The 25,497-nt window shown below is 63.6% G+C and overlaps 2 protein-coding genes, 1 long non-coding RNA gene, 1 other non-coding gene and 1 pseudogene across 20 annotated transcripts in view, besides 6 other annotated features; 2 read left to right on the top strand and 3 right to left on the bottom strand.

Moving 5' to 3' along the window:
- On the top strand, positions 7–13,646 carry OPLAH (5-oxoprolinase, ATP-hydrolysing). 8 transcript variants are annotated; one of them, XM_047421689.1, is made up of 28 exons: positions 7–268; positions 3,892–4,106; positions 4,178–4,369; positions 4,889–4,988; positions 5,072–5,195; positions 5,277–5,472; positions 5,564–5,729; positions 5,820–5,958; positions 6,045–6,112; positions 6,255–6,520; positions 6,648–6,760; positions 6,850–7,020; positions 7,213–7,350; positions 7,445–7,583; positions 7,709–7,821; positions 8,029–8,180; positions 8,779–8,939; positions 9,055–9,156; positions 9,233–9,407; positions 10,575–10,759; positions 10,839–10,985; positions 11,068–11,202; positions 11,370–11,519; positions 11,642–11,799; positions 11,892–12,052; positions 12,142–12,239; positions 12,496–12,498; positions 13,396–13,646. In XM_047421689.1, exons 1-28 carry the CDS (start codon positions 34–36, stop codon positions 13,552–13,554), a joined length of 4,161 nt encoding a protein of 1,386 aa, XP_047277645.1. In that variant the 5' UTR covers positions 7–33; the 3' UTR covers positions 13,555–13,646. The 8 variants fall into 8 exon arrangements, with proteins under 8 accessions (XP_047277645.1, XP_047277644.1, XP_011515262.1 ...); XM_047421688.1 differs by having other exon boundaries at positions 3,883–4,106; XM_047421691.1 differs by lacking the exon at positions 7–268 and adding an exon at positions 3,276–3,315.
- Positions 2,548–3,068: an enhancer, noted in NCBI's record as "H3K27ac hESC enhancer chr8:145115803-145116323 (GRCh37/hg19 assembly coordinates)". NCBI's record gives its function as "activates a minimal SCP1, AML or CMV promoter by ChIP-STARR-seq in naive H9 embryonic stem cells {active_cell/tissue: H9 hESC(naive)}" and the evidence as "EXISTENCE:reporter gene assay evidence [ECO:0000049][PMID:30033119]".
- Positions 2,548–3,469: a biological region, named in NCBI's record as "H3K27ac hESC enhancer GRCh37_chr8:145115803-145116323".
- Positions 2,860–3,469: a silencer, noted in NCBI's record as "silent region_19653". NCBI's record gives its function as "represses an Ori minimal core promoter by ATAC-STARR-seq in GM12878 lymphoblastoid cells {active_cell/tissue: GM12878}" and the evidence as "EXISTENCE:reporter gene assay evidence [ECO:0000049][PMID:35858748]".
- On the top strand, positions 6,588–6,647 carry MIR6846 (microRNA 6846). Its single transcript, NR_106905.1, has one exon. It is a non-coding gene; the product is annotated as a microRNA 6846 (primary transcript).
- Positions 11,213–12,108: an enhancer, noted in NCBI's record as "H3K27ac-H3K4me1 hESC enhancer chr8:145106761-145107658 (GRCh37/hg19 assembly coordinates)". NCBI's record gives its function as "activates a minimal SCP1, AML or CMV promoter by ChIP-STARR-seq in naive H9 embryonic stem cells {active_cell/tissue: H9 hESC(naive)}" and the evidence as "EXISTENCE:reporter gene assay evidence [ECO:0000049][PMID:30033119]".
- Positions 12,762–13,439, bottom strand: LOC124902039 (uncharacterized). 2 transcript variants are annotated; one of them, XR_007061143.1, is made up of 4 exons: positions 13,273–13,439; positions 13,110–13,173; positions 12,947–13,026; positions 12,762–12,854 (listed from the first exon to the last, which is right to left on the bottom strand). It is a non-coding gene; the product is annotated as an uncharacterized LOC124902039 (long non-coding RNA). The 2 variants fall into 2 exon arrangements; XR_007061142.1 differs by having other exon boundaries at positions 13,340–13,439.
- SMPD5 (sphingomyelin phosphodiesterase 5 (pseudogene)) lies at positions 13,909–14,570 on the bottom strand (annotated as a pseudogene). Its single transcript, NR_158554.1, has 2 exons — positions 14,069–14,570; positions 13,909–13,981 (listed from the first exon to the last, which is right to left on the bottom strand). The product of NR_158554.1 is annotated as a sphingomyelin phosphodiesterase 5 (pseudogene) (transcript).
- Positions 14,514–14,703: a silencer, noted in NCBI's record as "silent region_19652". NCBI's record gives its function as "represses an Ori minimal core promoter by ATAC-STARR-seq in GM12878 lymphoblastoid cells {active_cell/tissue: GM12878}" and the evidence as "EXISTENCE:reporter gene assay evidence [ECO:0000049][PMID:35858748]".
- Positions 14,801–15,698: an enhancer, noted in NCBI's record as "H3K27ac-H3K4me1 hESC enhancer chr8:145103171-145104068 (GRCh37/hg19 assembly coordinates)". NCBI's record gives its function as "activates a minimal SCP1, AML or CMV promoter by ChIP-STARR-seq in primed H9 embryonic stem cells {active_cell/tissue: H9 hESC(primed)}" and the evidence as "EXISTENCE:reporter gene assay evidence [ECO:0000049][PMID:30033119]".
- Positions 16,854–25,497, bottom strand: part of SPATC1 (spermatogenesis and centriole associated 1) — a 36,138-nt gene continuing 27,494 nt past the window's right edge. For 4 of the 8 annotated variants that reach the window (XM_011517022.3, XM_011517021.2, XM_011517025.3 and 1 more), the window contains 5 exons: positions 23,505–24,059; positions 22,861–23,400; positions 22,597–22,736; positions 22,026–22,130; positions 16,854–17,341 (listed from right to left, as the gene is read on the bottom strand). In XM_011517022.3, the coding sequence (XP_011515324.1) occupies positions 17,012–17,341; positions 22,026–22,130; positions 22,597–22,736; positions 22,861–23,400; positions 23,505–24,059 (1,670 nt within the window). In that variant the 3' untranslated portion in view covers positions 16,854–17,011. Of the gene's footprint in view, positions 17,342–21,872; positions 21,985–22,025; positions 22,131–22,596; positions 22,737–22,860; positions 23,401–23,504; positions 24,060–25,497 lie in introns of all 8 variants that reach the window. The other 4 variants (XR_928329.2, XR_928328.2, NM_198572.3 and 1 more) reach the window with 4 other exon arrangements.

Here is a 25,497-nt window from a genome sequence, read left to right as displayed (position 1 = left end):
GCCCCCGCCAGCTGCCGCCGCTGGCTGCCAGGCATGTCCCTCCTCAGCAGCTATGAGGGCCTGCGGCAGGAGATCCAGCGGCTGGCACAGGAGAACGAAGAGCTGCGGCGGCTGGTGCAGCTCATCCAGGAGAACCAGGAGCTGAAGCTGGTGCTCAGGAACCGCGGCAGCAGCCTGGGCTTCTGCAGCTCCGGGTTCCTGGCTGAGGTGGCTGCCAGTCCCTGGCTACCCAGGCGGAGAACGATCAAATTCAAGAATGCTGAGAGAGGTGAGCCGTACCGGGGCCCCAAGACTCTGTGGAGTTGGGCAAACCCGCTGGGTGCTGCGGTGCCTCTGGAGCAAAGCCAGGGCCCTGGGGCTCTTCCAGGATGTGCGGCGGGGAGAAGGTGCCAGGTCTGGGAAAGTGACCTCTGAGCAGAGCCTGAGCGGGCGAGGGAGCTGCCAGGCTGGGGCGCGGCTTTCCAGGCCCAGGGAACAGCCTGTGCCAGGCCCTGAGGTGGGTGCAAGTTGTCTGTGCCTGAAGCTGTCAGAGTCACTGCAACGGCAGACTCTGTCCTCCCAGCCCTGCGCTCTCTGGTGGTGGGGACAGCCATATCCCTGGGGGAACGTGATGGAAGCCTGGCCGGGGTGGAGGTGTGAGAAGTAGCAGCTCTGTGTTCTGAAGGTGAAAGTAACAGGACTTCTGGCAGATTGCGTGTGGGGATGAGAATGGGGCTGGGGCAGCTCGCTGGGTGGGGGAGCCGCTGCTGGAGTGGGCCACTGGTAGGTGGCCTGGGGCTTGGTTTTGGGACGTGTCTGGCCATGCAGTCAGAGGCGCCACTAGAGAGTAGGGGCCGGGCCATCCCGCAGGCCTGGAGCTGCCTCTGGTTGCTGTGGAGGGGCTGCGTGGCATTGCCAAGGGGAAGCTGGGACCCAGCAACATGGAGGGACAGAGATAAAGGCCCAGTGGGGTAGGAGGCAGGTGGGGCAGCCAAGGGAGGCCTGAGCCTGGGTGGGTGGGGGTTGGCTTTTGTTGGTCTGCCCCCGAGACGCGCAGTGGAGTGGGGTCAGGAGAGCCCAGGAGGCAGGCGGAGGTGGGGGAGGTGGACACCTGGAGGTGCACGGCAGTGGGATGCCGCTAGGGAGCGTGGGGACAGGCCCTTAGAGGTTTCGTCTGTGAGTGGATAGCACAGGCCCCTGGAGTGAACAGAGAGGCGAGGGGGTGGCTGGGGATGGTGGAGGGCAGTGAGAGAGTTTGGGGTCTACAGCACAGGCCTGGCGGGCAGCCTGAGTGCGTACAGGGCAGCAGATGGTGGGGGTGTGGGTGGGTGGGGTGTGGGAATCTCTCCTGATAGATCCTGGGCTGACAGGCAGGACCAAGAGGCTGTGCTGGGGATGGGTGGAAACCAGAAGGCAGGGCAGTCCCGCAGGAGTGTGGGCTGGCCAGGCAGAGGCTGTATGGCTGGTGGGGAAGGTCCTCGGCTGAAGTGGGGTTGCTGACCAGAGCTGCTTCCCACGGACTGCTCAGAGCAGGCAGGTGGGGCTCCTGCATGTGGGCGTGGCATGATCATCTGGGGCCTCAGCTGGGCCTCAGGATGGGAAGGCACTAGGAGGTCCATGGGCATGGGGTCTGGGGGTGGCATCACAGCAGGCACGTGCCACTTACAGGGCAGTCATCTGGACATGAGCAGCAGCCCATCCATGGGGAGGGGTTCCTAAGTGCCTGATCCTGGGCCCCATCCCTGTCTATGGGGAGCTGGAGTCCACTGCCCTTGGCACAAATGTTACAGGAAAGGGGTCCCAATCCAGACCCCAAGAGAGGGTTCTTGGATTTCTTGAAAGAAAGAATTCAGGGCGAGTGCCTAAAGTGAAAGCACGTTTATTAAGAAAGTAGAGGAATAAAGAATGGTTACCCCATAGACAGAGCACCCCGAGGGCTGCTGGTTGCCCATTTTTTTTTTTTTTTTTTTGAGACGGAGTCTCACTCTGTCGCCAGGCTGGAGTGCAGTGGTGCGATCTCATCTCACTGCAAGCTCCGCCTCCTGGGTTCAAGCGATTCTCCTGCCTCAGCCTCCCAAGTAGCTGGGACTACAAGTGCGTGCCACCACGCCCAGCTAATTTTTGTATTTTTAGTAGAGACAGATTTTACCATGTTGGCCAGGATGGTCTTGATCTCTTGACCTCATGATCCACACGCCTCGGTCTCCCAAAGTGCTGGGATTACAGGCGTGAGCCACCGTGCCAGGCCGGTTGCCCATTTTTATGGTTATTTCTGATGATATGCTAAACGAGGGGTGGATTATTAATGCCTCCCCTTTCTAGACCATATAGGGTAACTTCGTGCCGTTGCTGTGGCCCTGGTAAACCGCCATGGCGCTGCGGGGAGTGTAGGACGATGGTTTTGGTAGGTTTGGCCAACTTCTTTACTGCAACCTGTTTTATCAGATACAGGGTTTTTTTTTTTCTTTTTTTTGAGACGGAGTCTCGCTCTGTCGCCTGGGCTGGAGTGCAGTGACACGATCTCTGCTCACTGCAGCCTCCGCCTCCCGGGTTCCAGCGATTCTCCTGCCTCAGCCTCCCGGTAGCTGAGATTACAGGCGCGTGCCACATGCCTGACTAATTTTTGTATTTTTAGTAGCGAGGGGGTTTCAACCGTGTTGGCCGGGCTGGGAGATACAGGTTTTTATGACCTGTGTGTTGTGCTGACCTCCTATCTCATCCTGTGACTTAGAATGCATTAATCGTCCGGGAGTGCAGCCCAGTAGGTTTCGGCCTCTTTTTAGCCAGCTCCTATTCAAGATGGAGTTGCTCTGGTTCACACGCCTCTGGCACAAGGAGGGCTGGAGATGAGGGAGACCCGGTGAAGAAGGCCAGAGATACCGCACAGGAGAGGCCCACGGGGCCGGGAGCTGGGGCTGGTAGAGAAGGCCGCAGGGCCTCCCCTCTCCTCTCTGTCCTTCAACGCCCCCTCCACGGGGAAGGACGTCCGCCAGTGGGAAGCCCTGTTGTGGCCTGGGCTGCCAGCTCCCCTTGCCCAGGACACCTGGAGGTGGGATCCTGGGGCGCCCACGCTAGGCGAGCCCAGGCCCGGCGCCGGAGACCCGAGGGCCGCAGAGCCAAGGTGCCCTTGATCCTGCGCCCGTGGCCCGGGGAAGCGCAGGGCGAGGACGGAGGCGCGGGGGGCGGGCCCGGCCTGATGTAACCGCGAGTGCCGGGACCAGTGGCGCGGGGGGCGGGCCCTGTAGGCTCCTCCCCGAGGCGAGGCTGGTGCGGGCAGGGCCGCCGGGAGCGCAGGCAGAGCCGACCGCGAGCGACCGAGCCGGAGCCGAGCGCCAGGTGGGGCCTGCGCCGGGCGGCCTCCCCTCCGCGGCCCTTCCCCGCTGCCTCCCGGGCTTCCCCTCCGCGGCCCCTTCCCCGCTGCCTCCCGGGCCGCTCCTCACGCGTCCCCGCCTCGGGTCGCCCCGTCGGTGCTCAGGCTCCGTCCTGTCCCGGGGCCCGCCAGGCTTGGGTCGAAGGTCGAGCAAAGCGGGAAGTGGGGTCCCCCGGCCAGCTCGCCCCAAACCCCCTCCCCGCACTCCCGTGCCTCTTTCGTGCTGAGGGACCCCGCCCGAGGGCTCCAGGGTCCAGCGGCGTCCCCACCTCCCGTGCCTGCTCCGCTGCCTGGGTTTCGGCCCAGTCCAGGGCCCGGAGAAGCGCGATGCTGGGCATGGGGGCATCAGGCCGCTGACCGCCGGCCAGGCTCTCGCTCGGGCCCAGGCTGCCCTCGGAGCTGGGCCTGCGGCTCTGGCTCTTCCCAGAGTCGTGCCCGTGGGTCTCTCCCTCAGGAACCCCCCGCATGCGCAGGGCTGGGGAGCCTCTAGTCCCACTCGCAGGTGAGCCCGGGCTGACCCCGCCTCCGTCCAGTTTTTCCAGGGCTACCAGCTGAAGAGCTCCTGTGGGACTCCAGCCCCACCACCATGGGCAGCCCCGAGGGCCGCTTCCACTTTGCCATCGACCGTGGGGGTACCTTCACAGACGTCTTTGCCCAGTGCCCAGGGGGGCACGTGCGGGTCTTAAAACTGCTCTCAGAGGACCCTGCCAACTATGCGGACGCGCCAACCGAAGGCATCCGCCGCATCCTGGAGCAGGTGGGCCAGGGCGGAGCGGGTGGACAGGGACCCCACGGCCAGAAGCCCCACACTGACCACGTGGTCCCCAGGAGGCCGGCATGCTCCTGCCCCGGGACCAGCCGCTGGACTCCAGTCATATCGCCAGCATCCGCATGGGCACCACAGTGGCCACCAACGCACTGCTGGAGCGGAAGGGGGAGCGGGTGGCGCTGCTGGTGACACGTGGCTTCCGAGACCTGCTGCACATTGGCACCCAAGCCCGTGGGGACCTCTTTGACCTGGTGAGCTCCATGTTGGCTGGGGACCAGGCTGTGTGGTGTACACCCCCCAGGGATGCCTTGACCCTGTGGGGAGAGCAGTTGTTGGATTAGTGATGGCTCATGGGCACCAGCCGACAAAGAGGAAGCTCCCGAATTCCCAGTGGGACCCCAAGTTCTCCTAGCCCTCGGAGTGGGCACAGGATGCCCTGTTCCTGCCTGCCGCCATGCCCACCCTGGATGCTGGTGTGGGGCCACCCAAGCTACCCTGTTCAGGCAGAGGAGGGGTGGAACCCCGCACCTACTGCTGCGTTTCCGGAAGAAGCTGCCTTCGTGGGGGTGGAGCAGTTGGCTGCACTCAGCTGCCTAGGGGGTGGAGAGCTGCCCCCTTGGTGAGCCTTGCTGGGGCTGCCAGGTATGACTCTCCTGGGCCTGCCGACCGGCCTGTTGGGACACAGCCACTCACCTGTACCACCCACTCACACAGGACCCCGGCCTGGACCCTCAGGCCTGGGCCTCTTCTGAGTCTCTGCCCGCCCCCAGGCCGTGCCCATGCCTGAGGTGCTGTATGAAGAGGTGCTGGAGGTGGACGAACGCGTGGTGCTGCACCGTGGAGAGGCGGGCACCGGGACGCCTGTGAAAGGTGTGTGTGCCGCCGCTGCTGTGGGATTTGGGGCCGGAGGGTCCTGCTGGCCTTTAACGGGGCCTCCTGGGCTTTTCTGGAAGGCCGCACGGGGGACCTGCTGGAAGTGCAGCAGCCTGTGGACCTGGGGGCCCTGCGTGGGAAGCTGGAGGGGCTGCTATCTCGAGGCATCCGCAGCCTGGCTGTGGTGCTCATGCACTCGTACACGTGAGTGAGGTGGGGCTGTGGGCTGCGGGAGCAGGTGCCGGGCCTGGTGGGAGACGAGGTGCCACTGGGTTTTTGTCATAGGTGGGCCCAGCATGAGCAGCAGGTGGGTGTGCTGGCCCGGGAGCTGGGCTTCACGCACGTGTCACTGTCCTCGGAGGCCATGCCCATGGTGCGCATCGTCCCTCGGGGGCACACGGCCTGTGCCGACGCCTACCTCACGCCCGCCATCCAGCGCTACGTGCAGGGCTTCTGCCGTGGCTTCCAGGGCCAACTCAAGGTGAGGCTGTGAGGCACCCCCACTGCCCACTCCTGGGCCTGGGCCTGGGCCTTGGCCTGCCCCTCATGGCCCGCCTGCTGCCCGCTCGCAGGATGTGCAGGTGTTGTTCATGCGCTCCGATGGCGGCCTGGCGCCCATGGACACCTTCAGCGGCTCCAGTGCTGTGCTCTCGGGCCCGGCCGGCGGCGTGGTGGGCTACTCAGCCACCACCTACCAGCAGGAGGGTGGCCAGCCTGTCATCGGCTTTGACATGGGAGGTATGAGGGCCGAGGGCTGGGGTCTCGGGGAGGCTCAGCTGCTGGGCCCCTGGGTCTTCAAGTGACCCACCAGCACCCCACCCCTGCCAGGCACGTCCACGGATGTGAGCCGCTATGCTGGGGAATTCGAGCACGTCTTCGAGGCCAGCACAGCTGGCGTCACCCTCCAGGCCCCGCAGCTGGACATCAACACCGTGGCAGCGGGAGGGGGTTCCCGCCTCTTCTTCAGGTCAGCTCTCCTGCTTCCCAGGCTGGGACCCCAGCCCTGTCTCCCTCCTCGTGTCCAACTCCAACCCCAGCCCTTCCTTCCCCTAGGTCTGGCCTCTTTGTGGTTGGGCCCGAGTCAGCAGGAGCCCACCCAGGACCCGCCTGCTACCGCAAAGGTAAGAGTCAGGATCTGGCCGGCCTGGCCTTGCCCTCCGCTTGCCGCCGCAGGCCCAGCCCCTCCTGTCAGCCCTATCCCTGCTGCCTACTCCTGCTCCCCTGCCTCCAGCCCCCAAGCCCCACACCCTGTCCACCTCCCAGGGGGCCCTGTGACAGTGACGGATGCTAATCTGGTCCTGGGTCGCCTGCTGCCTGCCTCCTTCCCCTGCATTTTTGGGCCGGGAGAGAACCAACCACTTTCCCCTGAGGCCTCCCGCAAAGCCCTGGAGGCTGTGGCCACTGAGGTCAACAGCTTCCTGACCAACGGGCCCTGCCCGGCCTCCCCGCTGAGCCTGGAGGAGGTGGCCATGGGGTTCGTGCGCGTGGCCAACGAGGCCATGTGCCGGCCCATCCGTGCACTCACGCAGGTACGTCCACCTCTGCTCTCCCGCCTGTCCTGCCCCCAGCCCTGCTCCCTGCCCCAGGCCTCCTGCTCAGGCTGGGGGCTGGATGGGGTAGAGTAGGAGAGCCCACTGACCCCTTCTGTCTCCCTAGGCAAGAGGCCATGACCCCTCAGCCCATGTGCTGGCCTGCTTTGGGGGAGCTGGTGGGCAGCATGCATGTGCCATCGCCCGGGCCCTGGGCATGGACACGGTGCACATCCACAGGTGGGCCTGGGTGTGGGTGCACGGAGGTGGTGTGATCTGCGCCGGGCTTGGGAGGTGACCTCCCATTGCCATGCTGCCCATCCCTGCAGGCACAGTGGGCTGCTGTCGGCCCTGGGGCTGGCCCTGGCTGACGTGGTGCATGAGGCACAGGAACCCTGCTCCCTGCTCTACGCGCCTGAGACCTTCGTGCAGCTGGACCAGAGGCTGAGCCGCCTGGAGGAGCAGTGTGTGGATGCTCTGCAGGCCCAGGGCTTCCCCAGGTGGGCTCCCAGGGTGCCCTGGACAGAGGGCTTACGTTGTCCTCACCACGCCCTTGGTGGGTGTTCCTCCTGATGACTTCCCAGGTGGTCCCGGGGTGTGCGAGAAGCAGAACAGGTGTCCTTGCCGGGCGCTGGGTGGGGTGGGGTCAGGGCAGGGGGTTTGGTGTGAGTGCCCCCAACCACCTGCTGCAGGTCCCAGATCAGCACTGAGAGCTTCCTGCACCTGCGCTACCAGGGCACGGACTGTGCTCTGATGGTGTCTGCCCACCAGCACCCAGCCACAGCCCGCTCGCCCCGTGCGGGGGACTTCGGGGCAGCCTTTGTGGAGCGGTACGTGGCTTCCTGACTCCGGATCCCTGGCAAGGGGCCCTCCTGTCTGGCCGCCTCACTCTGACCACTCCTTGGGTCCCCGCGGGGAGTGCAGGTACATGAGGGAGTTTGGCTTTGTCATACCTGAGCGGCCGGTGGTCGTGGACGATGTGCGAGTGCGGGGCACCGGCCGCAGTGGTCTTCGCCTCGAGGATGCCCCCAAAGCCCAGACCGGGCCTCCCCGGGTGGACAAGGTTGGTGGTCCTGCCTGTGCCAGCCTGACAGCACCCATGGGGCACCGGGATGGGGACCAAGCCCTGTGAGAGGCATCGGGGAGGGTGCTGGGCCCGGGCGCTGTACTCACCCGCACCCTCTGCAGATGACCCAGTGCTACTTTGAGGGGGGCTACCAGGAGACCCCTGTGTACCTGCTGGCAGAGCTGGGCTATGGGCACAAGCTCCATGGGCCCTGCCTCATCATCGACAGTAACAGGTGGGCTGAAGTCCGGCCAGGGTGGAGGATGTGGACGGGTCCACTGCGGGGCCCCTGGTGCAGGGTTCTCTGGCCCAAGGCTGCAGGGGCCTGCAGGACTCTGTATCCCACCATCGTTGGGGTGGCCCCTGGCCTGGGGCCGTGGCATCTCTGGTTGGAGGGGTGTCGCCTGGCCCCATGCAGCCCTCTGTGCCCTCTGCTCCCCAGCACCATCCTGGTGGAGCCAGGTTGCCAGGCAGAGGTGACCAAGACAGGGGACATCTGCATCTCCGTGGGGGCCGAAGTCCCCGGCACAGTGGGCCCCCAGCTGGACCCTATCCAGCTGTCCATCTTCTCACACCGCTTCATGAGCATTGCTGGTGAGTGGCCGCTGCCAGGCTCCCTGTGGGATGAGGCGCCGGCTGTGTCATGGGGTAGCTGGCAGGGCTGTGCCCAAAGGGAGAGGCAGAAGCAGGACCCCCTGGCGACGGGGCGGGCAGTGTGGCCGCAGCACTGGTGTGGTGCAGTTGGCCATGAGAACAAACCTTGGGCAGGGAGGACACCTTCCCCCCTTACCTGCAGCCATGTGATCCAGAGAGTGCCCTCCTAGCTAAGGAAGGGATACTGAGGACAGCACAGGGAACCCATCTGTGCAGGGTCAGGCCAGCGGCTTGCTGGGAGCCCAGAGGTCAAGAGCCTAGGAACCAGGTTCTTGCTGTGCCAGGCAGGGTGGGAGGGTCGAGGGGTGGCACTGGGTTCTTGCTGGGGGCTCCAGGCAGGGCTGGGGAAGGTGGTGTCCTTTACATAGGCTAAGACGTGGCCAAGTGGGCACACCGTCAACTTGGTCTTCCCCAGGAAAAAGCTGCTGGGTTTTTCCTGGGTCCTGGGTTTGAGTCCTGGTGGGTCCTGTTCCTCCCTTTCCTGGGGCCAGGCTGTGGGTGGGTGGGGCCAGCGGGCCTGGTCACTTTGTGCTCCTAGAGCAGATGGGCCGCATCCTGCAGCGCACAGCCATCTCCACCAACATCAAGGAGCGTCTGGACTTCTCCTGTGCCCTCTTTGGGCCCGATGGGGGGCTGGTGTCCAATGCCCCCCACATCCCTGTGCACCTGGGTGCCATGCAGGAGACGGTGCAGTTCCAGGTGGCCCTTCCCCCGCCTCACCCTTCCATCCCCCTCCCTCACCCTCCACCCCCCCCCCACCCCGCTCTGGCCCCTGCTCCCCTGTGCCCACTCTGCACCCATCTCCTGGTTTCAGATTCAGCACCTGGGGGCCGATCTCCACCCTGGCGACGTGCTACTGAGCAACCATCCCAGTGCCGGGGGCAGCCACCTGCCAGACCTGACTGTTATCACACCGGTGAGGGGTGCTGCCCGCCTGCCTCTGCTGGGGCAGTGGTGGCCGATGCAGCTGACCGTGGCTCTCCACCCGCTAGGTGTTTTGGCCGGGTCAGACGCGGCCTGTGTTCTATGTGGCCAGCCGAGGGCACCACGCAGACATCGGGGGCATCACACCAGGCTCCATGCCCCCCCACTCCACCATGCTGCAACAGGAGGGTGCCGTCTTTCTGTCCTTCAAACTTGTCCAGGGGGGCGTCTTCCAGGAGGAGGGTGAGTGGGAGTGGGGTGGGGCAGGCCTTCTGTAGGCTGGGACACATGGCCACTGCTGGCAAGCAGGCCTGGCTGGACCGTGGGATGCAGCCCATAGGCCCAGGCCTGCCTTGAGGCTGGGAGGAGATAGGTGGTTACCCCAAAGGGCAGCTGCAGATCGGATCCCGGGAGCTGAGATGAATTCAGCCTGGGCCCAGGAAGGCCTCCCGAGGGGTGGTTTTGCGGGTGGAGAGTTAGCCAAGACGTGGAGGGTCAGGGTGCTGGAGAGAGAAGCCTGTTTCAAGGTGGGTGGCTGCTTGTGGTGTGTGCAGTCATACTGGGTGGGGTCCGCAGAGAAACAGCAGGGCAGGGGCAGGGCCCAAAGGCCCCTGTAGAGTTTTCTGGGCCTAGGTCTGAGTCACTGGGTGGTGGGTGGCCGTGAAGGGCTTTCAGCTGGGCCTGCGCTGAGCTCCCACTGTGCCCACGTGCAGAGAGGATTCGGGGTCTTGAGAGTGGCCTGGAGGCTGGGGGGCAAGGTGGGGGGAAGCTGCAGTTGCCCTGGATGATGCTGATGTCTTGGGCTGAGTGGAGAGCGAGGGCGGGGGGTGGGGGACAGTTTTAGAGGTGGAGGTGGGTATTTGGAGGGATTTGGGAGAGGGGGCCAGGGGTCAAGTTTGGGCAGCTGGAGGTGGAGGGCCTGGCACTGAGCAGCTGCAGGGAAGGGGGGATGGAGGCTGCAGGGGTGCCTGTGGTGGGGGTGGGGGTAGGAGAGACAGGGAAAAACAGCCCTGGTCTGAGGCTGCAGGTCTGGGAGCCCAGGGGAAGTGGCGTGGCCAGGGTGGAGGGTGGTGGCAGAGGGTGGGTGTAATGGAACCACAGGCTGTTCTGGGTGTTGAGGACACAGATAGGGTGGCCCATTGCTGGCTGCTCCCTTGGTCAATGTGAGCTGGGGCAGGGGTTGTGGACCACAGAGGGACATGCACAGGCACACTGCAGAGGGCCTTGTGGCTGCCTCAGAGGGGACCCTGAGCCAGGCTCAAGGAGAGGGGCTTTCCTGAGGTGCTGAGCAGTCCCAGGCCAGGCCTCGGTGCTTTCTAGGGGCCAGAGACCTTGTCTGGATCTGGGAAACCTGGGTTGGGGGTGCAGACAGGGTTGGCCAGGGGCTCAGTGATGACACTGTCCATCCAGCGGTGACGGAGGCCCTGCGGGCGCCAGGCAAGGTCCCCAACTGCAGCGGAACCAGAAACCTGCACGACAACCTGTCGGACCTCCGTGCCCAGGTGGCAGCCAACCAGAAGGGCATCCAGCTGGTGGGGGAGCTCATTGGGCAGTACGGCCTGGACGTGGTGCAGGCCTACATGGGCCATATTCAGGTGGGCCTGGGCACAGGAGTGTGGGCGGCAGGGCCATCCTGCAGGTGACCTGGCCACCACTGATCCTGCTCCCTGCCAGGCAAACGCTGAGCTGGCCGTGCGAGACATGTTGCGTGCCTTTGGAACCTCCCGGCAGGCCCGGGGCCTGCCCCTGGAGGTGTCCTCGGAAGACCACATGGACGACGGTTCCCCCATCCGCCTCCGTGTGCAGATCAGCCTGAGTCAGGTGGGCCGTGGGGAGAGTGCCTCTAGGCGGCAGGGGCACGGTGCGGCCGCTGACAGCCTCTCCCTTCCCTCGGGGCGCGCAGGGCAGCGCCGTGTTTGACTTCAGCGGCACTGGGCCGGAGGTGTTTGGTAATCTCAACGCACCGCGGGCCGTAACCCTGTCCGCCCTCATCTACTGCCTGCGCTGTCTGGTGGGCCGCGACATCCCACTCAACCAGGTTCGCAGGGGTGTGTGCGCGAGGGGGGGCCCCAGCCCGAGGTCACCCTGAGTGCGCCTCCTGGGCCCAGCCACGGTCTGACCCCACGGGTGCTGGGGCGGGGGGTGGGGTGCTGTTTCTCCCGGAGCCCACCCCAAGAGCTCCTGAGAGCCGCCCGCCCCGCACAGGGCTGCCTGGCGCCAGTGCGCGTGGTCATTCCCCGAGGCTCCATCCTGGACCCGTCGCCCGAGGCGGCGGTGGTGGGCGGCAACGTGCTCACGTCGCAGCGCGTGGTGGATGTCATCCTGGGGGCCTTTGGGGCCTGCGCCGCCTCCCAGGTGCGGGGGCGGGGTGGGCGCAGCTCGGGGGCGGACTGGGTGGGCAGGCTGGAGTAGGAGCGGGAGGGCGAGGTGGGGACGCCCTGCCCCAGCCCAGCGCAGCGACCAGGTGCCCTCACCAGGGCTGCATGAACAACGTGACCCTGGGCAACGCCCACATGGGCTACTACGAGACGGTGGCGGGCGGCGCGGGCGCGGGTCCCAGCTGGCACGGGCGCAGCGGTGTGCACAGCCACATGACCAACACACGCATCACCGACCCTGAGATCCTGGAGAGCCGGTGAGCGGCGTGCGCGGAGGCTGGGGGCACGGCCGGGTGGGAGCCGGGGCTCGGGCCACGCTGAGTCTTTGCCCTCGTCCTCGCCCTCGCAGGTACCCGGTCATCCTGCGCCGCTTCGAGCTGCGGCGGGGCTCGGGGGGCAGAGGCCGCTTCCGAGGCGGCGACGGCGTCACCCGCGAGCTGCTCTTTCGTGAGGAGGCGCTGCTGTCAGTGCTGACCGAGCGCCGCGCCTTCCGGCCATACGGGCTCCACGGTGCGCGGTTCCCCAGCCCTCGCGGCCCTCCCCGCCCCCGCCCCCACCCCCGCCCCTGGTCTCTCTGGACTCCTCGCCTCCCTCCGCAGGGGGCGAGCCTGGCGCCCGCGGCCTAAACCTGCTGATCCGCAAAAACGGCCGGACGGTGAATCTGGGCGGCAAGACGTCGGTGACCGTGTACCCCGGGGTAAGGGCCGCGGCCTGTCCTGTCCCCCTCCCCTCCCCTCCCCTCCCGGCCCCATCCCACAGAGGGGGAACAGTTGCAGACCTGACCAGAGGCCGAGTTTAATTTGGCCCCGGAAGGAAAGGGGGCGCGTACCGGGCCTCCGTGGTCCATGGGGGCGGGTGATGGACGCTGCCCGGTGGGGAGGGGACTGCGCAGGTGACAGGGAGGGGCCACGCCTGCACTGAGCCCGCCTCCCCGCCCCCCCCCGCGCCAACAGGATGTGTTCTGTCTCCACACGCCCGGCGGCGGTGGCTATGGGGACCCGGAGGACCCCGCCCCACCGCCGGGGTCGCCCCCGCAAGCACTGGCCTTTCCCGAGCACGGCAGCGTCTATGAGTATCGCCGGGCCCAGGAGGCCGTGTGAGGATCCCGCAATAAAGATGCCTTAAGTCTCCCGGTTCTGGGGACGCAGCTACGGCGCCTAGTTCGTGCTCCGAGTCGTGTCTGTGCGCGCCAGCCGCGCGCCCCTCATCTGTGCTTGCCTTAGGAGGACACTGAGACTCGGAGCTGCAGGCGCACTGCCCGGTGGTCCGTGAGCCCCTCCAGGGCGGTACTGAACGTCACCTGCTCCACCTCCTGGGGGCGGGAGTCAGGTTGAGGGTCGTCCCAGTGCCGCAGGCCCAGCCACCCGGGAACTCCGCGGTACGTGATGTAGTCCAGGCGCCGACCTCTCCAGGGCTTAGCTCGGCGGCTTCTGCCGGGAAGGCCGGCCAGGTAGAGGTGGCGCCCTTTCTCCTGCTCCAGGGCCCTGGTAGGGGGGCGGTGTCATCAAGGCCAGGGCCCCTCCGCGCGCTTCGGGCGGGCAGTGCCTACATCCAGGTCGCAACTCACCGCCTCGGCATCTTGGGGGAGGAGGCCATGGACTGGTGGAGCACGGAGGTGCTCAGCGCGGTCCCTGGGGGATCCGGGGGAGGGCGGCATCAGCCAGAGCCTCAGCCGACGGCGCTCCCCAGGTCCACTTCCCGCTCCGATACCCTCCCCCTAAGCACGATACCCAGGGCCCAGGGCTGCTCTTGGCGCGTGCCCAGCCGGCGGGGGTACCCTCCCCCCAAGCGCGATACCCAGGGCCCAGGGCTGCTTTTGGCGCGTGCCCAGCCGGCAGGGATCCTGGAAACAGCGGAAGAGCTCGTGCTCCTGCTCTAGCCGGTGGTCTGCAGAGAGAGGCGGGCGCGCGGTGGGCGGGGCCGGGCCTCCTGGCTCCGCCCCTCCTCGCCCTCCTCTCCTGCTGGACCTTTCCAGCAGTTATCGAAGTTTAGGTCGCCCAGGAGCACGCTGAAAGCCACGACCTCTCCACTTTGTTCTCTGTCGGCCTCAAACTTCTCGGCCCCAAACTTCTCGGCCCAGTCCAGCAGCGGCGTCAGCTGTTTGCTGCGCAAGGGCCCGTCTTCTGCGTGGGGGAGGGGGGGGTGGGGTGGGCTTGGCTCCAGATTCGGACCCGCATCCTGGGCAGTCAGCTCCCGTCTCCGCAGTTCCTGATCTGTGAGCCCCGACAGGCACTTCTCAGGAATTCCGGTGCCGGGGGCAGTGAACAAAGGGTGGGAGGTGGGGGGCGGGGTGCAGGCGAATGTAGGGATCAGCAGCCGCTATGGAGAGGCGGGACCTGTTCCGAGGACCCATCCGCAGGGCTCACCAGCCAGTGCTTGCAAATGCGTGCAGTGCAGGAATCCCACGATGCGGCGCCCGTCCAGGCTGCCCAGCCTCGCCTGCAACACCACGGACGGCTCCAGCTTTCTCCGCCTTCTCGGCCGAACCCCCGCCCCCTCTGCGGGCTGCACCGGATAGGCCAGTACCTGTGCGGACGGTAGTCCCTTGGAGGCCAGCGCGTCCTCGCCACGTGCGTGGGGGAAGCAACGGAAGGTGGCGCGCAGCAGCGGGTAGCGCGAGGCCAGCAGCAGCCCGCTGTCCAGCAGCTTGAGGTGCCGCCCGGGCTGTAGGCCGAGCGTGCCCACGTCGTACAGCAACGGGCCCAGGTTGGGCGCCAGGCGATTCACCAAGCGACGAGCCCTGCGCAGATCGAATACCTCCTGCAGGCACACAAAGTCCAGACCCACGGGCAGCGAGGCCACCAGCGTCCCGCGCGGCGCCCTGGACCACGGCTGGCTGCAGTCCGTAGCCCTGTAGAGCGCGGGCCGCGCGGCGCCAATGGCCTCGGCCGGTCGCTGGCTGTGCGGTAGGTTGCCGAAGCGCGCTTGCCCGTCGGGGAGCAGGCACAGATTGGCGGTGAGGAAGACGAAGCAGCGCCCGGGTTCGGCAGGCGGGCGCCAGAGCGCGGGCGGCGCCCAGCACAGCGGAGGGGAGCGGTAGCAGAAGGGGCGGCGCCAAACCTGCGGCACCAGCCAGAGCGGCAGGCCGGGCAGCGCCAGGGGCGGGCCGACCACCAGCAGCAGCAGCAGCAGCGCCGCCCGCCGCCCGCCGCCCTCCTCAGCCACCCTGCAGCTGGTGCAGGGCCCAGTAGGCCGGGAACAGCAGCGCGCGGGCCAAGCCGTGGAGGGCGTGCAGCGCCGGGGGCGGGAAGGGCGAGGGCCGCGGGGCGTCGGTCGCCGGGGACCAGTCGGGCGGGGATTGCATGGTACACCTAGCTCTTCGGCCACGGGGCGCCGGGGAGACTCATTGGCTTCCAGAGGACAAGCTGACTCGTCGGTGCATCCGCGCGAGCTGCGGGGAGTCACAGGGGTGAAGGCCGCGTGGCACAGCCTGTGTGCAAAGCCGGTGAGGTGCTGACGCAGCGAGCCTGGCGGAGGCGCGGGCGGAGGCAGAGGGGCGCTTCAAAAAGAAAACCCGAAAGGGACCTGATCTCAAATCCCCACCCTGGATCCTCCTCGTCCCGCCCCATCCACCCGCGAAGGTCGCACCGGGAACCTCTGAGCCCCGCCCGACGCAAGCGGGATCGGGATGCAGCCAGCGGCACGTGGAGGACGACCTGCCTTGAGTGCGGGCGGCGCAGCGCTGGTGAGGAGCGAACAGTGTGCGCTGCCTCCGGCTCCCCTGTACCCGCCCCCACGCAGGTCAGCATGGAATAGGCCGCGCACTCCAGCTGCCCGGGCGGCAGAATCCACCCCACCCCCTAGGCGTCTCTCTGTGGCTCTGCGGCCCCGCGGTGTCGGGCGCCTGAGTTCAAAGACCTGACACCTGAGGAGGGATGGACTCCCGCCCAGCGCCCCGCAAAGTCCCCCAAAAGGCCAGCCCGCAGTGGTGACGGCCTTGTGGCCCTACCCCATGGAGCTTCCAATCTAGGGGGAGGGACCTTTGGTTCTGCCCTGCGCGCAGCTCTGCCGGGGCACGCGACAGAAGCGTTTCCCCATTCGTGGAGCCCTCTGGCATCCCCTCAGGAGCTCCCAGGACAGGGCGGCCGGTAGCTCCCAGGCTCTGCTCGCCTCCCATCTTTCTAATTGGGCCTGTGAACTACCACACACTCCCGCCGTCAGCTGGGTGCAAGCGTCTCTTAAATAGCTCTGGGAGTTTGGGTCAGGGCTGCCCTTCCTGCTGGCTGGCAGGGAGGTGGAGGGGCTTCTGGCAGGAGCTCTTCCCTGCCCTTCCCAGGGACTAAGAGGCTGGTGTCTGGCTGGATTCCCTGGAGGTCTGGGAATGGGGAGGGCAGAGGCAGGAAGCTCAGCAGCCCAGGCATCCCCGGAGGGCCGGACACTTTGCATACCCTCTCCAGCCCCGGACTCCTTGCTGGTTGCTGAAAGATTCCCATTGGAACTCAGACCCTGTGGGTCCACTGTTGCCTTCTGCCATCCTCTCTGGCTGGCAAGCACTGGTGCTCCAGGACCCTCCTCAGTTGGGGTTCTAATCCCCCTCCCATCACAGCCGGCCTCGTTGCCTTCCTGCATGCAGGCTTGCTCCTGTCTCACCCTGTGGCCACAGCCCCTCTGGGCTTTCCCACACTGCACTTCTCTCTTCCCATGTCTTCCTCCCCAGGGACTTCCTATCCTGGCCGGCCCCCTCAGCTTCCTGCACTCTCCACAAGCCCTTCCCAGCACCCCATCTGCCCTCAGTGCACTGTGGGAGGCCCCTGGCCTGCCCCCAAATCCTGCTTGTGCTCCTCAGCTCCTGCAGCAGGTGGGGTCTGCCCTTGCCAGCTCTCAATCCCTCTCAAAGTCTCCAGGACGTGTGGGATGGCCTTGGGTGTCTTGGGAAGGGGCCAGCACTTCGCTGGGCTGCCCCATGCCCAGGTTGGGGTGAGACTGCTTTCTCCCGGCTCTTCTGCCTTGAATGTCCTCTTGTCCTCAAGGCCTGGAAGACCGCCCCCCCTCCCCGCCCCTCACCCAGCCCCGGCCTAGTATGGGGGCAGGGATCACACACCTACATCCTTGTCTCCTCCCACCTCTGCCAACTCCGTGCCCCTCACCACTGCGGCAGGCACAGAGCCACGGCCCTTTCCTCCCTGCTCCACCCCTTCCTGGTTCCTACCCTTCCCCATCCCAGTCCCAGGAGCTCCCACTGCTCTTAGTGCCGTGGGAGGGAAGCCTGGGGGCCTTCAGACCAACCCCTCGCAGACCACTGCTGAGCCTTGGCCTCTCGGGCTCTTGAAGAGGGTCCGGTATGGGCATTGACCTCCAGGGCAGACAGGGCTGAAGGGGCACGGTGCCGGGGCCCGGTGAGCCACCCCAGAGGAGGCAGCACCACCCAGGAGCGCTGGCACAGGCCCAGCGACCAGTGTCTGTGGGAAGCTTTAATGGCCGTGCACAGGGCTGTGGGGCTGAGCGAGCCTGGACCTCCCAGCTCCAGCGTCACCAGATGAACATGGGCTTGCCGTCATCGTGCGCCAGCTGGCTGAGGCAGGAGAGCAGCAGCAGCGCGTCGGCGAGCATGCCGGGGTGCACGGTCTCCACCACCACACGCTGCAGGAAGTCCACGGTGTAGGGGCCGCCCTCAGACGCCGCCAGCTCCGGGCGCTCTCGCAGGATGCCATAAGCGTTCACCAGCTGCTCGGTCAGCGCAGGGTGCACCCGCCCGTTGTAGCCCAGACTCTGCAGCCTGTTCATGACGCTCACATAGCGCTGTGTGAGCCTCTGGCACAGCTTCTCATCCAGCTTGTGGTCACTGGGGTTCAGGGAAGCCTGTGGGGACAGCGGCCATCAGGGACCCTCCCTTGCCACACCTCCACACACAGGCAGGTAAGGGGAAGACCGAGGGGCAGGTGAGGCTGTGAGATGGCCAGGATCCGAGGGGTGTGCGGTGGGGAGGTTCTGCGACAGACCTCAAGAATCTAGGACAGGGGAACCCAGTGGGCAGAGCCTGACAGGTCTCCAAGGCCTGATCCGGGCAGGGCAGGTGGCTCTCAAAGCTCCCCAGTAGGGCCTCAGCCACAGGGTGGAAGAGGATGCCCCAACCCTGTCGTCTGCTCCACGCACCACCAGGGAGTGCAACTGGGCTGAGGCCTCCAGGGACTGAGGGCAGGGGGCGTGGCTAGGCATCTGGAGGTGCACAGGGTCCCCTGACCCAGGAGTCTGGGGTCTTTCCCAGGCCTCCTCCTGGCTCCGTGCTCTGCTCCCTTTCAGCGTCTGAAGGCCACCCCCTTCCTTACCCTGGCCTCCATCCTCAGCACCCTCTAGCCTGCACACCCCCTAGGGGACTCCCTTTCCTCCCCCATCACTGAACTGACAACCCCAGGCAAGTGTTGGCCCCAGCGCTGAGGGGCCTGTCTCCATCTGCGTCCTCCTGGGCCTGGGGCCAGGGCCAGGGCCTGGGAACCAGCACATCTGGGTCAGTTTCCACTCACTTCCTCATGCCCTGTGTCCTCCCACCAGCCAGGCAGTGACTGGCTCCCGCCCTAAGGCATGTAATCATGAAGGCAGCCCCTCCCACTCAGCCTGCCGCTGCCCCCTGGATGTGTGACCTGGGCAGTTGTGGGAAGCCCAGTGCCCAGCTCAATGCGCTGTTGGCACCATCCTGAAGTTCTAAGTTTTGAATTATTTTCATTTTGCACTGGGCCCTGCCAGTCTTGCAGCCTGTCACAGGTGCAGCTGCCCCTGCCTCCAGGCTTGGCCCTGCCCGCTCTCTGCACAGGCCCACAGAGCCACGGGTCTAAAGTGGAGTTGGGTGGGCTATCCCCTGCCCAAGCTCCTCCTGCAGTTTCCGCTGCTCCAACACTTGGGGGAGGGCCACCCTCCAGTGTCCCCCCATCTGTCCCTGCACCCCTCTTCCAGCTATGTCCTGCTGTGTCCCAGATGGCTGACGTGGTGGTCCCCAACCTGCAGGGAATACTCTTCCCTACTCCTTGCCCACACAAGCTGTTCAGGCACCACCCCTCGGGGAAGGCTCCAGGCGCAGGGTACCAGTCTTGGGGCTGGACTCAGGACCGGGCCCGGTTAATGTGACGTCAACCTCTGCTAAGTGCTCCCAGAGCCTGCGCTCAGCACCCCTGTTGCCTGGGACGTGCCTGGGATGCGCCTGTCTCTCCCCAGCTGGAGGTTCTTGGCTCCTGAGCCTTCTAGGCAAACGAGTAATATGCACAGTTGTGGGGGGCAGGAAGACACCATTGAGGTTCAGCGCAAGAGTGAGGGCCCGTGGACAGCCGTGCTCAACGGCTGCTTCTGCATCACACTGGGACTGAGCCTCAGTTTCCCTGCTGGGATGGGAAGGAAATCACAGTGCCTCCTGCAGGAGTGTACTGGGGGTTACAGGCAGCGGCCCCAGTGAGCACTGAGCACCAGGGCACGCAGGGGCCCCCACCTTGGGGGATGGCAGTGCACTCACATCTCAATGCAGCGAGTTGTGTCTTTTTGTTGTTGTTTTGAGACGGAGTCTCGCTGTGTTGCCCAGGGTGGAGTGCAGTGGTTCGATCTCAGCTCACTGCAACCTCCGCCTCCCGGGTTCAAGCAATTCTTCTGCCTCAGCCTCCCAAGTAGCTGGGATTACAGGCGTATGCCTCCACGCCCAGCTAATGTTTTTGTATTTTTAGTAGAGACGGGGTTTCATCACATTGGCCAGGCTGGTCTCAAACTCCTGACCTCAGGTGATCTGCCCGCCTCGGCCTCCCACAGTGCTGGGATGACAGGCGTGAGCCACCATGCCTGGCTGAGGTGTGTCAGTTGTGTCTTACAAATATCACCCTGTCTTAAAAATATTCCTTCAAGGGCCGGGCTTGGTGGCTCACGCCTGTAATTCCAGCACTTTGGGAGGCTGAGGCGGGCGGATCACGAGGTCAGGAGATCAAGACCATCCTGGCGAACACTGTGAAACCCCGTCTTTACTAAAAATGCAAAAAAAAAAAAATTAGCTGGGCGTGGTGGCGGGCGCCTGTAGTCCCAGCTACTTGGGAGGCTGAGGCAGGAGAATGGCGTGAACCCGTGGCGTGGAGCTTGCAGTGAGCCAAGATCGCGCCAATGCACTCCAGCCCGGGCGACAGAGCGAGACTCCATCTCAAAAAAAAAAAAAAATTCCTTCAAGGAATAGGGAAGGCAGGGCATCCAAGATGCTCAACTATGAGGCCAAGGTCTGGGTGGGGAGATTGCAAGGCAGTACCACCTTCTCTCTGCTCCCCTGTTCCCAGAGCATGCATCACCTCTATTATTGATGTATTGCTTTACGCATTTACTGAATGCCTCCCCAGGAGAGTGGATTGACTCAGGACTGCCTGGTGTACACCTGGCTCGATACTAGTCAGGAGTGAGTGAGTGCAGGGGGAAGGTGGCTGTGGACCAGGGAGCAGGTGACAGCAGTTTGGACCAGCGGAAGGTGTGAAGGATGAGAGAAGTGAGCAGCAGGAGAGTCTGTAGGACCCAGTGTCAATGGGATGTGGAGGAGTGCACACGTGACCGTGTCCACACCGTCCTCCAAGGCGTGTGCCCGTGCTCAGCACCCAGGCCTTTCCTATGCAGCACTCGGGACACTGCCACGGACGGGCTCCACGGCAAGTGAGTGGCAGCAGGTGTCACAGAATCTCTGTCTGAACACAGGGTGGGCGCATTACAAATCAATCCAAAGACAGCCAAAAACCCCTGTGAAAGTTGCTGGTATCAAAATAGTCACTTATGTAAAAAAAAAAAAAAAAAAAAATGTAGTCCATAGGCCAGTGCAGTGGCTCGTACCTGGAATCCCAGCACTTTGGGAGACCGAGGCAGGTGGATCACTTGAGCCCAGGAGTTCAAGGTTAGTCTGGGCAACACAGTGAGAGTTCATCTCTATAAAAAATTTAAAGCTGGGCGAGGCCAAGGCAGGCGGATCACAAGGTCAGGAGTTCGACACCAGCCTGACCAACATGATGAAACCCCGTCTCTCCTAAAAATACAAAAATTAGCCGGGCCTGGTGGTGTGTGCCTGTAATTCGAACTACTTGGGAGGCTGAGGCAGGAGAATCGCTTGAACTTGGGAGACGGAGGTTGCAGTGAGCCAAGATCTGGCCTCTGCACTCTAGCCTGGGTGACAGAGCAAAAAAAAAAAAATGTAAGGCTGGGCACCGTGGCTCACGCCTGTAATCCCAGCACTTTTGGAGGCAGAGGCAGGCAGATCACTTGAGGCAGGGAGTTTGAGACCAGCCTGGCCAACATGGCAAAACCCCATCTCTACCAAAAAAATACAAAAATTAGCCGGGTGTGGTGGCGGGTGCCTGTAATCCCAGCTACTTGAGAGGCTGAGGCAGGAGAATTGCTTGAACCCAGGTGGCGGAGGCTGCAGTGAGCTGAGATTGTACCACTGCACTCCAGCCTGGGTGACAAGAGCAAGACTCTGTCTCAAAAAAAAAAAAAAAAAAATAGCCAGGTGTGTTGGTGCATGCCCGTAGTCCCAGTTAGCAGAGAGGCTGAGATGGGAGGGCCACTGGAGTGAACCATAATTATGCCACTACACTCCAGCCTGGGCGACAGAGTGTGACCCCATCTTAAAAAAAATTGCAATAGGGAAAGGCCGTGAAGAAGTCCTCTCGCACACAGGCCTGTAACAGGATTTATCACAAAAACGTCCTCAAGAGTGCAGGATTCCAAGACACTGCTTGCTCAGGGCCACTCGCCTAGCAGTGGCCTTCACCAATGAACAAGGCCACTGCAGTGAGCTTCTGTGACCTCTAAACTTGGTTTCAAGACAGCTTACATGGACGCCTGTGTCTTTAAAAGCTTCCCTTTCGGGGCCGGGCGCGGTGGCTCACGCCTGTCATCCCCGCACTTTCGGAGGCTGAGGCGGACGGATCACCTGAGGTTGGGAGTTTGAGACCAGCCTGGCCAACATGGAGAAACCCCGTCTCTACTAAAAATACCAAAAAGTTAGCCGGGCATGGTGGTTCATGCCTGTAATCCCAGCTATTTGGGAGGCTGAGGCAGGAGAATTGCTTGAACCCAGGAGGCAGAGGTTGTGGTGATCCGAGATCGCACCATTGCACTCCAGCCTGGGCGACAAGAGCAAAACACCAACTCAAAAAAAAAAAAAAAAAAAAAAAAATATATATATATATATATATATATATATTAGCTGGGCGTGGTGGCGTAAACCTGTGGTCCCAGCTACTTGACAGGCTTGAACCCCCAGGAGTTTCATGGTTGCAGTGAGCTAGGATCACGCCACTGTACTCCAGCCTGGGCTGTGTCAAAAAAAGAGGCTGGGGCAGCAGAATCGTTTGAATTGAGAGGCAGAGGTTGCAGTGAGCTGGGTACATACACTGTTGTGTACTCTTTTTCTTTTTCAGGTGGAGTCTTGGTTTGTTGCCCAGGCTGGAGTGTAATGGCTCAATCTCAGCTCACCCTGGGCAGGTGACAGAGCGAGAGTCCATCTGAAAACAAACAAACAAAATCCCACACACACAAAACTAACCCAAGGATGCTTTAACCAGAGGCAAAGCTCCAACCTGGACCCACGCAGCTCACAGTAGCTCCCGCTTAGGCTACACACAGGCCTGCAATCCACAGATAAACACAGCTGGAGAGAAAAAGCAGCCGGGAATGCAGCTGGGCTGTTTTCTCAAGAGAAGCCCAAGTGGTAAGTAGGGATGCAGCCGCCCTCCCTGCCCAGCAGCCGCACACCCCCAACCGAGCTTCCCCGTGCCTTCTACAGCCTGCCACACGCATGGCACAGACGCACACTCCGGCATGCTGGCAAAGCATCATCCTCCAAGTGCGTCCACAGAGGAGGCCATCCTGGTGGCAAAGGGGGAGAGCCGCCCGACCATGCTGAAAACCCCCACCTCGCCTTCCTCTGAGGAGACCGTGGGCTCCCACTGCCAGATGCCCCAACACCTGCAGGCCGTTGGCACTGAGCAGTCAGCTTCCTCTATCCCAGGGACTCCTCAGGTCCTGGCAAGTTTGGCCTGGCCAGAGTGCAGGGTCCCCACGGCCCCTCATGGGCCAACCTGCCCCCTGTCCCTGCAGGACCCCTGGCCGCACACCTGGATGATCTTCTCTGGGATGTTGGAGACAGTGAAGCCGTAGAGCCGTACGCGCTCTGGGAAGATGCTGGACAGGATCCTGCGGTCCAGCTGGAAGGCAATCTCACCCACCAGCCTCTCCCAGGCCAGCTGCTTCGACTCTGGGGACACAGGGTCTCGTCAGCCCAGGTGAGAGGGTGAGAGGAGCTGGGCTCAGCAGCCCAGGCAGGCGGCAGGGAGAGGGCCTGGGGGCCCGACCCGCGTGGAGCCCGCAGTGTCACTGACCTCGGGGGTTCTCGGGGAACTTGCTGGTCTTGCGGTGGGCCAGCTTCCGTTCCACCTCCATCATGCTCTTCGTCGACGGTTCTGTGGTGCGTGGACCTCGAGAGTCATTGACTGAAGCCGGGGAGGATGAGGTACGAGGTGGGGAGTGGGCGTTGTGTGGAGGACAGTGGGGGACAGGCAGGTTCTGGGTTGGGGAATTATGCATTCGGGAAGGGGGATGGGGGGCACCCTGGGCGATGTGGGTGGTGCTTGAGGGTGTGTAGCTGGTGGCAACCTGGGGGGCAAGGGCGGGGGCAGAGGCAAGGACGGTGACCGTGGGGGAGGTGGTGGGGGAGGTGGGGACAGATGCAGGGACCACTTGTTCCTGGGCGGCACTGGGCTGGGCCTGTGTGTCCGAAGTGTTGAAGGAGAAGGCCGTCTTGGGAGCAGGTGTGCCCATGGCTCCGATAGGGGTGGAGGTCTGGAGGGGTGCTCCTGCAAACGCCATGCTGAGAGGCTCTGGGTCCTGGGTCGACTGGGGGGGCTCAGTGGAGAGTGGGACTAGTGATGTGGAGGGAACAGAAATAAAAAAAGGGGGATTAGAGTGAGGTGGGAGGGCTCTGCCCCCCCCCACTCTGCCACCCACCACCCACCACACCTGTTACCTTTGGTGGTGGCAGTGGGTACCACGCAAGCTGGGGACTGGGGCCCAGTGGGGCCTCCGCGGAGTGGCTCAGCCAGCCGCAGCCTTGGGGCCTCTGGCAGGACCAGGTTGCTCATGGGGTTGGCCAGCAGGTTCTGAGAGACCCCTGGTGGGGTGGCAGTGGAGCTGAGGAGGGGGCTGCTCAGAGAGACAGCCACCGTGCCCATCACAGGGGCTATCAGGGGGCTGCTCTGGGACATGGCCACAGGGCCTGCCACGAGGCTGCTGGGAGTCAGGGTGCCAGTGGAGGGCAGGCCCAGGGAACTGGCCAGTGTGCCTGTTAGGGGTCCCGCAATGGGACTGGTCAGGAAGCTGGTGAGGGGGCTGCTCTGTGACGTGGGTGCTGGGCCAGACAGCAGCGTGCTGAGGGTGCCTGTCAGGGGGCTCATGAGTGAGCCCGGTGTGGCGCTGGGCTGCAAGCTGGTTAGCATCTCGGCCAGGGGTGCCAAGGCCATGATCCCCACTTCTTCGAGGACTCGTTCGTTTGCCACTGCTGGGGACGGGGGCAGGAAGACACCTGGGAACACAGAGAAAGCACTGAGACCCCAGGGGAGCCCCTCCAGACCACGGCGAGGGTGGTCACAGGCTCTGTCACTGTGGTAGGGCCTGGCCATAGTGCCCATCTGTCCCCGATGAGCTGACTGGTCCGACCTGGTCTCTGAGCCTCACTTCTTAGGCAGGCCAGGGTGGTGGCGTCTCTGCCTCTGTGGGGAGTCTGTGTCTGCTCAGAGGAGCCTGGGAGTGGCTCCCCAAGGCCTCATCTCCAGCCCTGATTTTTGGGTCAGTTCTCCCAGGCTCACTTCTCTGACCACTTGCCCACTGCCCCCAGCCATGGGGACGTCCCGCTGCCCTTTCCTCAACCGTGCCCACCCCTTGCCCAGCAGAGGGTCTCCAAGCAGCTGGATTCTCAGGTCACCAAGTTGGCCCCTCTGTTCTTCGGTGGAGAGAAGAGGGCCCAGGCCTCCTGACCACTGTCTTTGTGGTGGGGGCTCCTCAGGGGGTCCGTGCTGCAATGGGCAGAGCCTCACGTGGCCCGGCACCCTTGCATGGTCCCTGCCCTGTGGGGCTTGCTGTGGCCTAAACAGGGATGCAGGTCAGAGCTGGTCACACACCCTGGTCCCAGACACTGCTTTATGCTCTCTCCCTGCCCCTGAGAGCCTGCTTTCCTTGGTCCTGGAGGAGTGCTCCTTTTTCTGGCCACTGTTTCGGGGAGAAGCCCCCTGATCCCCGGGGATGCAGCTGCTGGCAGTAGTGGTGGGAGTGCAGAGAAGGTTTTTGTGAGTATGCAATTTCATTGAGAACTTCCACTTTTGTTGTTATAAATGCAGTACATGCTTATTATAGAGAAAGAATGGAAATACAGAAAAAAAAGATGAAAAGCCACAGATAGTTCCATCATCCCACAGTTAGTCTCTATTGAGGAGCTGCGTGTTGCCTTGGAGACCTTCTCTACCGTGCGTATATAGCTCAGGAGTTGGCAAGCATTTTCTGTGAAGGTCTGGAGGTAAATACTTCCACCTTTGCCAGCTATATGGTCTCTGTTGCAACCGCTCAAGCCTGCCGTTGCCTTCAGAAGGCAGCCACGGGCAACCCGGAGGTGAATGAGGGAGGGTGTATGGCAACAAACCTTTATGGATGAATACGACATTTTGGATTTCATGGGTCATGTAATAGTAGTCTTCTTTTAACCATTTAAAAATGTAAAATTCAACCGCCTGAGCCCAGGAGTTCCAGACCGGCCTGCTCAATATGGAGAGACCATGTCTCTACAAAAAACACAAAAATTAGCTGGGCCTGGTGGCACACACCTGTAGTCCCAGCTACTCGGGAGGCTGAGGTGGGAGGATCATTTGAGCCCGGGAGGTTGAGGCTGCAGTGAGCTATGATTGCACTGTGATCGTGCCACTGCACTCCAGCCTGGGTGACAGAGTGAGACCCCATCTCAAAATAATAAT

This window comes from Homo sapiens, chromosome 8 (genome assembly GCF_000001405.40).
Source record: "Homo sapiens chromosome 8, GRCh38.p14 Primary Assembly".
NCBI classification, from domain to species: domain Eukaryota; kingdom Metazoa; phylum Chordata; class Mammalia; order Primates; family Hominidae; genus Homo; species Homo sapiens.
The sequence above is the reverse complement of the archived record's forward strand: the minus strand, read 5'-3'. Positions and strand labels throughout refer to the sequence as shown.

What these genes read in the sequence shown, in the direction of transcription:
- OPLAH (XM_047421688.1), top strand. Translation starts at nt 34, where the DNA reads ATGTCCCTCCTCAGCAGCTATGAGGGCCTGCGGCAGGAGATCCAGCGG. An exon ending in GGTTCCCGCCTCTTCTTCAG is followed by an intron (nt 5,959 to 6,044) that starts GTCAGCTCTCCT and finishes TCCTTCCCCTAG; the next exon opens with GTCTGGCCTCTTTGTGGTTG. An exon ending in CAGGCCCAGGGCTTCCCCAG is followed by an intron (nt 7,021 to 7,212) that starts GTGGGCTCCCAG and finishes CACCTGCTGCAG; the next exon opens with GTCCCAGATCAGCACTGAGA.